The sequence below is a fragment of the Homo sapiens genome, chromosome 1 (assembly GCF_000001405.40).
Source record: "Homo sapiens chromosome 1, GRCh38.p14 Primary Assembly".
NCBI classification, from domain to species: Eukaryota; Metazoa; Chordata; class Mammalia; order Primates; family Hominidae; genus Homo; species Homo sapiens.
The window spans coordinates 197,775,747-197,787,382 of record NC_000001.11 but is presented as its reverse complement, the minus strand read 5'-3'; the positions used below and the strand labels follow the sequence as shown (position 1 = coordinate 197,787,382).

Below are 11,636 nucleotides of genomic sequence, written 5' to 3'. Positions count from 1 at the left end.
TGAACTTGATTCTGTGCTTGCCAAGCAAACTAAATGGAGGGTCTAAACGGAAGATCTCAGCTCAAGAAGCTTCTGTCCTGTCATACTAATTAGCACATGCCTGAATCTGACTGGACAGCCCAGGGCAGAGTGAGTCAACAATGGCTAATCTACTCTGTGCTTCTTATAGGAACTGTTTATAACCAGAGGTGCCCATTGCAGTGTGTGTGTCTGGCTGGGGGGACTTCTGCCCTTATGTTTACAGGACTTAAGGCCTGATTTCAGGACATGTTGGGGTGCTCTTACAATTAATTTTAGTGATTCTATAGATCCTATCCAAGCTTTATTAAGATGCCAAGCACCCACCCACTCCCATAACCCCCACAGTACCCCTGAATTAGTGTCATAGAATGTGAGACAATCAGAGAGCATCTTAATGCCTCCATGGTGAGTGCAAGGACACTACTGTCCTCTTCTTTTGGTGGAATTTATGGTTGCTGTTATTGCTATGTGTTTTAAGCTTTTTGGTACATATTACCAAAATAATGGGGCTCTATCTTTCACTTTTGCAAAGGGTCTCCTGGGGGCAATCAATCATTAAAGAAAGCCCAGGGAAGAGGATAAAGTCTGAAAATTTCATCTGTCTTTCTGATAACCTGAGTCTGGAAAGCCTTACCAAGCAATGGGCTCTTAGTGTACCAGTAAGCCAAAAGCATGCCTCAAAAACTTCAGTTGTCTTCCTACAATGCCTGGAAATTATAATGCTATTAGCTGAGGTTCATAGGATGGAATATGCAGGGTGATTTCCTTGAGTGACAACTGTCTAGGACACATCTTTACTTTGGTGTCTAATGGCATCTCAACCTTTTAATGCTTAAAGACAGAGAATAAGGCTTCCTGGCAAAGGGAACAGGTTAATCCAAGTCCCTGAGGCTGTCTATGACACATCTTTACTGTGGTGTCTAATAGACATCTCAACATTTTAATGCTTAAAGTAGAACTTTTGGTTCCTTTCTCACCCCATACCCACACATCTATCCATACCTCTATTCCTTATCAAATGGCCCAAAAGCTAATAGTCACCTTCTTCTATCCACATCCAATCCATTGGTAATTCCGATGGGTAGATTGCTATGTGTATTTGAAATCTGTCTACTTCTTATCATTTGCACTGCAAGTATAATCCAGAATATTATTATTTCTCCTGAATTACACAGCAGCACCCTCATAGCCTTCCTTAAACCCTGACTTTGCCCCATGATTTTTTCCTTCTAGTAGCTCCCTATAGCAAGTAGAACAAAATAGAGTCTTTACCATGGCTTGCAAAAACTCTTCACAATCTAGCCTCTGCCTACCTCTCTGGCCTTATCTCCCACTACCCTTGCCTGTCGCCCTAGCTTTCCTTAAATGTACCAAGCTTGTTTCAGCCTCAGGGACTTAGATTAACCTGTTCTCTTTGCCAGGAAGGCTTATTCGCTGAATCCTTAGACAACTGCTGTCTTCTCATCATTCCAGATGCAGTTCAAATATCTTCATCTTAGAGAGGCCTGCTTTGTCTATCCTAGCCAAAATAGTCTTCTGCCCATCGCTCTATCTCATTATTCTGTTTCTTTTTGTTTTAGCACTCATTACCATCAGAAATTTTATTATTTATATATTTACATGCTTATATATATGTATATGTGTGTGTGTGTGTATATATATATAGTTTTTTTTTTTGAGATGGAGTCTCACTCTGTCACCCAGGCTGGAGTGCAGTGGCACGATCTCGGCTCACTGCAAGCTCCGCCTCTGGGGTTCAGGCCATTCTCCTGCCTCAGCCTCCCGAGTAGCTGGGACTACAGGTGCCTGCAACCACACCTGGCTAATTTTTTGTATTTTTAGTAGAGACGGGGTTTCACCATGTTAGCCAGGATGGTCTTGATCTCCTGACCTCGTGATCTGCCTGCCCGGCCTATATTTGGTCTTTATTAACTAGACTATAATCTCCATGAGGGCAGAAACTATATGGTCTCTAGTGATGAAAATAATACTAGTTTAGGCAAAGAAGCCAAACTTTAGCAAAGAATATTATTAGTTTTATAACCATGTAAAGAATATGTATCAACTACTCCTTGGCTTTGGGAGCCAAGACACATATGGTCATCTGGGAGAGGTGAAGGCATGCAGAAAAATACGCAAGATAGCTGAAAACAAAAGGAAGCTATCTTTGAAGGCTTTGTTCATTCAAAGGAATAGGGCAAGATCTGGATAAGTCAAGGGCAACTACATAGCATAGCCTAGAACCAGAGGAGGCAACTTGGAGAAGAAGTAGAAAACACAATGGGCAAACCAAAAAAGATGAGATTTGAACACTGATTCAGGGCAAGTGATTGAGCCCATCATAAAATAATGCCAAATCAATTCCACCCTAGCAGCTGGTTCTAGAATCCATTTCAATAATGTACATCTTGACTATGTACATGGCTTATCTTCATTGGCATTTTTTCCCTTTAGGCCCCCATGCTCCATTAAAGAACAAAACTATTTCACATATATTTTTTACATAAGGGTTAAAAACTGTATGTTAAGTGAAGTATCATACCACAAATACACAATAAAATGAATATAAAATGAAAAATAGTCAATGGGTTCATTAACAGAATCATGACAGATTTATTTTCAATTTGTATAAATGTCCATAGAGAATTATTCTTTAGTTTTAGTTTTCTATTTTCATCTTTAAGAACCATGAAATCCAGTTTTTGGACAAAGAGTTTCTCTAAAAGATGGAGTTTGTCTATAGACTAATTTCATTAGAAACGTTCTTTCAACATTAGCTTTCATTATCTGTAAAATGAGACAGTAATAGCAAGTAATAAAAAAAACCCAAATATCTCTTTCAGTTTCTTACATAAATGCCTTTTTTGTTGTTGTTGAGACAGAGTCTTGCTCTGCTCCCAGGCTGGAGCACAGTGGCATGATTTCTTCCTGCAGCCTGCACCTCCCAGGTTCAAGCGATTCTCCTGCCTCAGCCTCCAGAGTAGCTGGGACAACAGGCCCATGCCACCGTGCCCGGCTAAGTTTTATATTTTTACTAGAGATAGGATTTCACTATGTTGGCCAGGCTGGTCTAGAACTCCTGACCTCAAGTGATCTGCCCACCTCAGCCTCCCAAACTGTTGGGATTACAGGCATGAGCCACCATGCCCAGCCCATAAATGCCTTTTTTAATCCTCCAACTTGTACAAAAAACTGTTAAAGAAAGGTATGATTACAGAAGTGTTTAGTGTGGCTTATAATTCATATTTAAAGATATCAACAAGGTATCACCTTGACTGAGGATTTTAAAAAAATACGATATTAACAAGGGAGATGACATATGATAATAAATGTTTCTGAATTGAAATATAGACTCACTTGAGCTTTGCTCGCTTTTGATTTGAGAGAGAGAAAGCAAGAGTGAGTGAGTGAGGAGAGATGCATATGTGCTTTATGAAGAAAATGGCTTTTGTAAATGACTCAGTAGTATGCAGACTGACTTTTATTTCCTGGTGCCTCTGGCAGACATGGGAAAGTGCATTCTTCCACACAGGCGTTCTTGGAATAAAATGTCCCTGTAGAGTTAGCTTCCTGCTTCATCATTTATAGTACCTGTTTTACCTCCTAATCTATACCTCACAGAACTATTGAGAGGCCTAGCTAATAAAAAATGGTCATAAAGCACTTGGCAAAATCACAACAACTATAAAAAAGAATAAATGCAAATGTGGTAAAGCTTGTCTTTCTGGTATGTCCATGAAGTCTTTGTGCATGAAATGATACAGTGACTCAAATGTTAAAGTTTTTTTTTCTTTCACAAACTGGGAGTAGTTAAGCCAGCTGGTTTGCTGGAGTGAGTTGTTTCTAGCTCAATAGTAGGCCACTTGATTTAAAACCTTCCTACTAATTCTAATATTAAGCCTATCCTCATGAATTCCTGCATACATTATGTAATAATTAATGCCTGCTTATTTAAAGAGGAAGTACAACATGTTTGTGTCAAAAATCAGATAGGCATATAAATGGGTTGTGTAGTAATCAATGGCTGTACCTACATCATCACAGAATCTGAATTAGCAGCACCTATTTGGTAGTTTTATTAAGTAACCATAGGGAGAACACAGTATAATTACTATGCACAGTATACATACTAATGTCATATGTTCCTGATCCACAACTCAGTCCAAGAGGGAAGTGAAGGGAAGGCCCAGGAAACAGCTGTGCAGCAGGCAGAAAGAAGTCACTACACACTGATGCAGTAATTTTATTAAGTCACTTGCATACAGTCAGGCAAATGGACAGGATCATGGGTCCAAATTCCTCCTTTCCATTCCAGCCAAGCCCAGCTGTCCTGATTGGCAGTCTCGAGAAGAAGGGAAGAAACTTCTGGAATTATGCACCGTGAATGAAGAAAGTCAGGTGAGACTGCATCCTTTTTACAAAGGAAACATATAAGTTCTCACCAAACTAAGAAGACGTTGATCAGTTTCACAGATCCTTCTTTCTGTTCCTTCTTTCCCAGAGAAGATTACAAGCAAAAATGGTCTTACCAGACCATTTTTTGGCAAGTCTTACTTGCCTAAGACTTGGGTCTGTGACATCAGAAACAACAGCAGAGAGAAAGATGATGTCCATACTTTTGAAGCCCAGAAGAACTCTCAGTCCTTGTTCATTTTTATCTTGTTATAATTTGCAATAGTAAGAGATGGGGAGAGTTTGTCATCTGTTTTGGAGTTACAAGTCTCTGTTTCATATGAACTTGTGCTGTGGAATTATACCATTTGACCTGGTATTTGACTGAGTTCTATTTGCTGGAATGTTGCACTTTTCCCCTTCTAGAATTGATCATATACAAATGCATGTAATGTTTGGCTAGTTATTTTCTCATATTTTAGGAAAGCAAAACTTGGCACACAGCAATTTGTTTTGATAATCTCTCTATTTACGTTAGGATTAGGGTTGCTTATGGGGCTGCTGATTTTGTTGAACTATTATCATCATGTTAGATGATCATTTATGTTTCCTTCCAGAAAATTCTAATGACATTGCTCATTGGATGTGATTACTCATTCTCCTGAGAGTGTTAAATGGGTGTGAGCAGAGCTGCCATACAAGGAAGACTGTATTTACGTGGAGTATCTTGTAGGTGGGGTTGGGAAATTATTTCCCATGCAATGCCACATGGTTACACAAACACAGCACTCTTTCTTGAAGTCCAAAGGAGAATCCTCAAAGAATCTCTGAAGAAAATTTGACTCCACTGATTACCATCTGTTGGTGACACTCTGCTTCAATTATTCTTTGTTCTGAACTCCAAGGACTGTTTTAAGTTCTACAATGTCTGGCAGATTGAGGAACAAAGATAAGGGAGAACAAGCAGAAACTGGTCAGAGGTAAGAAAATTTATTTACAATTTTTGGCAAATCACCTGAAAAAGGCAGAAGAAGATCTTTTGCTGTGCTGTATTATTTTTGAGAATTTTACTGTATTTTCTTACTAAAAGTTTAACAGCAAGATATACAAATATCATCATCGACCCATTGAATTTTAGAAATATTTGGATATGTTCAGATTTGGTAGTAAAGGTGTCAAAATTTATCTGAGTTCTTTTGTCCACAAACTGGAAGACAACATTTTTATTAAACTGGATTTTAAATCAACATAGAATGCTAACTCTATGAGCTTTGAGGTGTGAAACAACTCAGAAAGGCAAACTTTCAGGGAAGATATTGATCCCGAATCCCCACCTCCATCTTCTCTTTATTTTAAAAGTATTTCACATGTCTTGTTGAGGGAGATTTTACCTTCAGATTGAAATTCATGATATTGCTGCTAAGTATAAAAAGGACAACATGCCAGGAGGATGTTTTCCTTAACAACACTATCTCAGTCAATATTAAAAGGCAGGTCCTGATAAAATAATTTAAAGATAGTTTCCTAAGAGCTTCAATAAATTCAGTTTGTTAAATACTTTATAACTTTTCTTCTATAATAAATGAAGGTGGTAATACTATTAATAAATTTCACCTAAGAATAGTAATAAGAGGTTGTGCAGAGTTAGTCTAGGAAATGCCTGACTTGGATACATGTTAGCTACAACTCATGAGATGCTTGCCTCAAAAAATTCATTTCTAAGTTAATTGTTTGGAACTCAAAATCTTCATATACATTGGTGAGGCTTATGAGTCTAGTCGAGTTAATTTATACTGAACCTGAAGCATTATTAATAGTATTATTATTTTTAAAAATACCATTCTAGAGTTTACAATAGTGTTTATTATTTCGCATTCAGAAGGGAAAGGAGCTGTCAACTTTAGTAGTCCTGGGTATCAGTAACTCTTCACTTTTGTTTAAGGCATATTACTACAAGGATTCAATGAATAAGTGGTTGGGGTTGGGAAGCCAGGAGTTACCTTTCTAATTGTCATAGTACACTGGAAATCAGGGCAGTTGGCTCACTAAAAGCCCTGAACTTGGGTTTCTCTACACCATTAATATATAGGGATATATAAGTTGGGGACTTTTTGGACCTGGTTTGAGGAAAGTGGACCTTATTAGGTGGATTAAAAAGTTGCAATTAGTCCATTTTACATGACACTATAGTCAGAACCAAGTAATTATCCATTATAGTCTGATCAAAACTTGCATGAAAATCAACTAAAAATTCAGAATTAAGTATTTTTAAAAGCTTGCAATGCATTGAAGAGCAGGCAATCAAGTGAGAATACTTAGGGGTGGAGGATGGGGGACAAATAAAAGTAGCTACAAGAGCCACCTCTCTCTGTAATCCCAGCACTTTGGGAGGCCGAGGTGGGTGGATCACGAGGTCAAGAGATGGAGACCGTCCTGACCAACATGGTGAAACCCTGCCTCTACTAAAAATACAAAAATTAGCTAGGCGTGATGGCAGGTGCCTGTAGTTCCAGCTACTCGGGAGGCTGAGGCAGGAGAATTGCTTGAACCCAGGAGGTGGAGGTTGCAGTGAGCCAAGATCACGCCACTGCACTCCAGCCTGGCGACAGAGCGAGACTCCATCTCAAAAAAAAAAAAAAAAAGAAAAGCCACCTTTCATCTTCATCTTTAGGGTTTTTCCTAAGCTGGATGAACTGGAAGACCATGAACTGTTATCATGGTCTTATGGGTCTTCAGACCCTTCCTAATGTGGGAAATCCAACAGGATACTCTTCATAAAGCTGATACACCCCAAAGGTATTCAAGGACAATTGTCTCAAACAATGGAGCATAGTTAAGGGGAAAAAAGCTTCCCAGAGGATTCATAGCTACAAACCAGGTCTCACATGAATGGTCTGAAGAATTTCAAGCTGAGAATTTAGTGTTTATGTTTCTGAATTGCTAGTGATCCCAAGCATCTACCAGCAGTAAATTAATATCTTCTCCAGAGAACTCATTTTCATTTCAGCTGTCACTCAATTTCTATATATAAAGTTCTAAGGATCACATAACATAAAAAGAAATCACATACATAGAAGAAATCAAGAGACCATAAGTATGAACAAGTAGAAAAAAGATCAGTTAGTAGAAGCAGACCCACAAATGCTTCAGATATTGGAATTTTTAGAAATAGAATTTAAAGTATATATATTAAATATTTTTAATAAATTAAAGAGATGCTGAAAATATGAGTTAAGAGAATACAGATTTGGAAAATAACCAAACAGAACTTTAGAAATAAAAATAATATAAATTAAAAACTAAATGGGTGACTTTGACAGAAAATGAGACAAAGCTGAAGAAAGAATTAGTGAACAGAATATTTTTGAAATTTTCCAGAATACAGCGTAGACAGATAAAGAGAGACATACTATAAAAGAGATGTTTGACAAACATGGAGGGTAGAATAACACATGTGTTATCAGAGTCCCAGAAGGAATGGAAAGAAAGGAGTCCAGAATTTTCCAGAACTGATGAAAGTCACCAATCCAGAGTCAAGAAAATTAAAGAAACCAAGAAACATGGATGAATAAAAATCTACACCTAGATACTTCACAGTGAAACTATAGAAAACTAAAGACAAAAATGAAACATCATAAATGCAGTCAGAGAGAAAAAACAGATGACATTTTAAGATTACTTTCAAAGTTCCAATTGTTATTAGGGAACTTAGAAGACAGTGTAATGATATTGATAACATGCAGAAAGAAATAATAGTAAACTTTGAATTCTTCATCAGTGAAAATATTTTTCAAGAGTGAGGGATAAATAAATACATTCCAACTCAAACAAAAAGGGAAAGAATTTTAGGCAGAAGGAAAGTGATCCTACACAGAAGATCTAAAATGAAAATACAAAAGAATGGTAAAGTTCTGAGTAAATCTAAACAAACATGGACTGTATAAAACAACATTCATAATGCATTTTTGGGGGGATTTTAGTTTTGAGGGGGTTTTAGAGGTTCTTGTATTGTTTGAGAGAGGGTGGATATCCTTGTGAACTCTGGCTTTAATCAGTTAAAATGTACCTATTAAAATTTCTAGGATAACTCCTAAATGAATAGAAACAGAGTAAATAACTTCCAAACTAGAAGAGGTGGGGGCAGAAATGAAAGCATAAATAGTAATCCTAAAGAATGCAAAAGTGAAAGAAAAAAACAGATCAGAAGAAACAAACGGGAAGTACAAAATTAGATGGCAGAAATAGATTTAAATTTATCAGCATTTTTCTCTCTTTTTTTTTTTTAATTTTTTTTAGACAGTGTCTCACTCTGTCAACCAGGCTGCAATGCAGCGGCATGATCTTGGCTCACTGCAACCTCTGCCTCCCAGGTTCAAGTGATTCTGAAGCCTCAGCCTCCTTATTATCTGGGACTACAGGCTTGCACCACCCACCACACCCAGCTAATTTTTGTATTTTTAGCAGACAGGGTTTCACCAAGTTGGCCAGGCTGGTCTTGAACTCCTGGCCTCAACTAATCTACCCGCCTTAGCCTCCCAAAGTGATGGGATGACAGGCATGAGCCACTGCGCCCAGCCTAAATTTATCAACAGTTTTAATACATGCAAATTGTCTAGGGGTTTGATGTAAGAGCTAAAGATGATCAGACTAGATTAAAAATCAAGACTAAAAATTTTAGATAAATTTGAAACATGATGGTTTAGAAAGTTTGAATGTAAAAGGATGAAAAGAGATATCCTAACATCAGACAAATACTATTCAGAAGAAAACTGTTTAGAATCTAAGGCAAAAGTACGATTGGAGGTAAAGAAAGTAACAACATAATGATGAATGGTTGTATTTATTAGGTAGATATAGAAATTATAAACTGATGTGTATATTATTACACAGCCCCAAACTGTGTAAGGTAGAACCTGAAAGAACTATAGGCTGAAATAGAAAAATCTACCATCATGTTGGGATATTTAAACTCATCTCTCCCATTAATTGAATTATGTCAAGCAGATGCAAATTCAGTAATAGAAGATGTCAACAACACAATCATCGTATTTGATCATGGACATATATTTAGAACACTGTACCCCAAAGCTGCAGAATATATATTCTTTACAAACCACATACAACATTTAAGTCTTGAAACATTTAAAAAATTAACTAAATTAATTAATTAATAAGAAATTAATTAATAAATAAAGACCATGTTCTTTGACAACAATACAGACTATGTTCTTTGACTGGTATGGTCCTGAAAACTGTTAATATTAATTGTCGAGTAGGAAATATCATTGCTGAAATATGATCTTGGGAAGATTTAAGACTAATTTGAAGGTTTGCCCTTTGTACACTTCTCTATCAGTCATATGGGAAGTTCTATATGAAATGAGTATTACTAAAGTTATACCATCGATTTCATTAAAGCTATTACCAAGGTAAGTGTATGATATTTGTTTTCTAATTTTTTAACACCTCATGCATGTAGATCATGTACACCTATGTTCCTATCCCTTTTATTTCAGTAATAACAGAACAGATAAATCTCTTCATTATGGTCAGCCTAAAAGCTCACTTAAAAAGATTTGCTTTGGGATGCGAATGTGTAGTATTTCCCTCGATGTACTTAACATAAATGGAATGAAGAACAATTTTATACTGTTCAAGGGTATGACTGTCATTTAAAATAAAATCCCAACAATGGATGAGGAAAACAATTGTATTATTATCTCCTCACACCAAATTAAAAAGTCCTCAATATGGTCACCCCAAGTAGGGTTCCTTTCTTTGGAAATAATTAATTATAATGAAAGGAGAAGTTTGAGAAATTCAGTAACAGTTGGGGCAGAAGTGGCTTTTAGCTTACGAATTTTTTTTTTCAAGGCTTTGGAGTATGGTCACTTATGCAGAAAAATCTTTATTTGGGAAAAGAAAACTTATGTAGTATAGTTTGCCTAATTGTGAAACTGAAATTCACAGAATAATTTCTCAAAAGATAATACAAATTTGTAGCACCTGTTTTACTTGAACATCACACTGCTCATGTGATGTACAAGTAATAATTCCCATTTTACAAATGTAGGAACCGAGAAACTGAAGTGTCTCACCCCGAGTCAAGCTATGACAACACTTTATGATAAACACATTTTTTTTTTGTTTGTTTGTTTCCCAGTTATGGCCCGTCCTCATTTTTTACTAACAGGCCCATGGCTATACAATATTTCTGATCCTGTTGACCAAGTAGTACCCAATTTTGGCAAGAAAGTTTAAGGTTATATAACTGAGTGCAACTTCAGGTTCTCTGACTCTTGAGTTTTTTAATTCTTAAGACTCCTTTTCTGACTTTTATGTCTTATGACTCACACTACATTCATACCACATTTGGTTTCCTCTCATCATCTTAACTTCTGCATGAATAAAGTCTGAAGTAACCACCTTTTGGAAGAAACACTGTGGCTATGTGTCAAGGGTGGCAGTGTTAGCTGGGAGAAGGCCTTTCCCAGAAGATCTCTGTGTAAGAGCCTGGCCTTCCACAGTCATTTGAATGTCCATCATAAGACTTTTCTACCTGTCTTCTCAGTAGATCCTAAATATGAGACAGCAGAGGAGGGAGACAGGCAATATGAGGTAGAAGTAAATAATCAGCATCAGATAGACCTGGTGTGAACTCCAGCTTTGCCATTACTCCCTGGTTTCTTCATCTGTAAAATGCTGATGAAAGTATCTATCACACACCTATGACAAGTACTGGGTGAGAGTGCACATAACCTGCTTCACATGTGCTTTAGGGCTGTGTAAATCAGTCCCTCCCACGCTTATTCAGTGGTGCCCTCTCTGAACTCGCCTAAACTGCCAGACTATGAGGCCTGCGACTATGTACATGTGTTCAAAAGTTAGTCCTTGGTTATCACTGCAGTCTGTGGTATAGGAATGTCTGCCTCCCACATGCGCAGACAAGTGGGGCACTACCATTTGGCTACTTGACAGGGCTATTTAGCAGGTGCACATGTCTGAACATTCCTGAATCAGGAGGGGGTAGCTCTGGATTTCAGAGAGCTGTAAGCAGGCCACAGCTGGAGTGACGCAAGAGCCAGGGGCATCAACTTGAGCTCTGAATTTGTAGTATGAAATGAAAGGAACCCAAGTCCGTGTGTATGTGTGTGGAAAACACTGCAGGTCGAGGTACTTTTCCAGGTACTTCGCCCTTTGTGGGGTTGCAGCCCCGACGCCCT

General features: G+C 37.5%; 1 protein-coding gene across 1 annotated transcript in view, besides 2 other annotated features; it reads left to right on the top strand.

Moving 5' to 3' along the window:
* The first annotated feature begins 5,232 nt into the window (after positions 1 to 5,232).
* Positions 5,233 to 11,636, top strand: part of DENND1B (DENN domain containing 1B) — a 277,403-nt gene continuing 270,999 nt past the window's right edge. The window contains exon 1 of the mRNA XM_011509248.3: positions 5,233 to 5,393. Within this exon, the coding sequence (XP_011507550.1) occupies positions 5,338 to 5,393 (56 nt within the window). The 5' untranslated portion in view covers positions 5,233 to 5,337. The remainder of the gene's footprint in view (positions 5,394 to 11,636) is intronic.
* Positions 10,686 to 10,735: an enhancer, noted in NCBI's record as "active region_2276". NCBI's record gives its function as "activates an Ori minimal core promoter by ATAC-STARR-seq in GM12878 lymphoblastoid cells {active_cell/tissue: GM12878}" and the evidence as "EXISTENCE:reporter gene assay evidence [ECO:0000049][PMID:35858748]".
* Positions 11,110 to 11,404: a silencer, noted in NCBI's record as "tiled region #12429; K562 Repressive DNase matched - State 5:Enh". NCBI's record gives its function as "represses a minimal TATA promoter and a strong SV40 promoter by Sharpr-MPRA in K562 cells {active_cell/tissue: K562}" and the evidence as "EXISTENCE:reporter gene assay evidence [ECO:0000049][PMID:27701403]".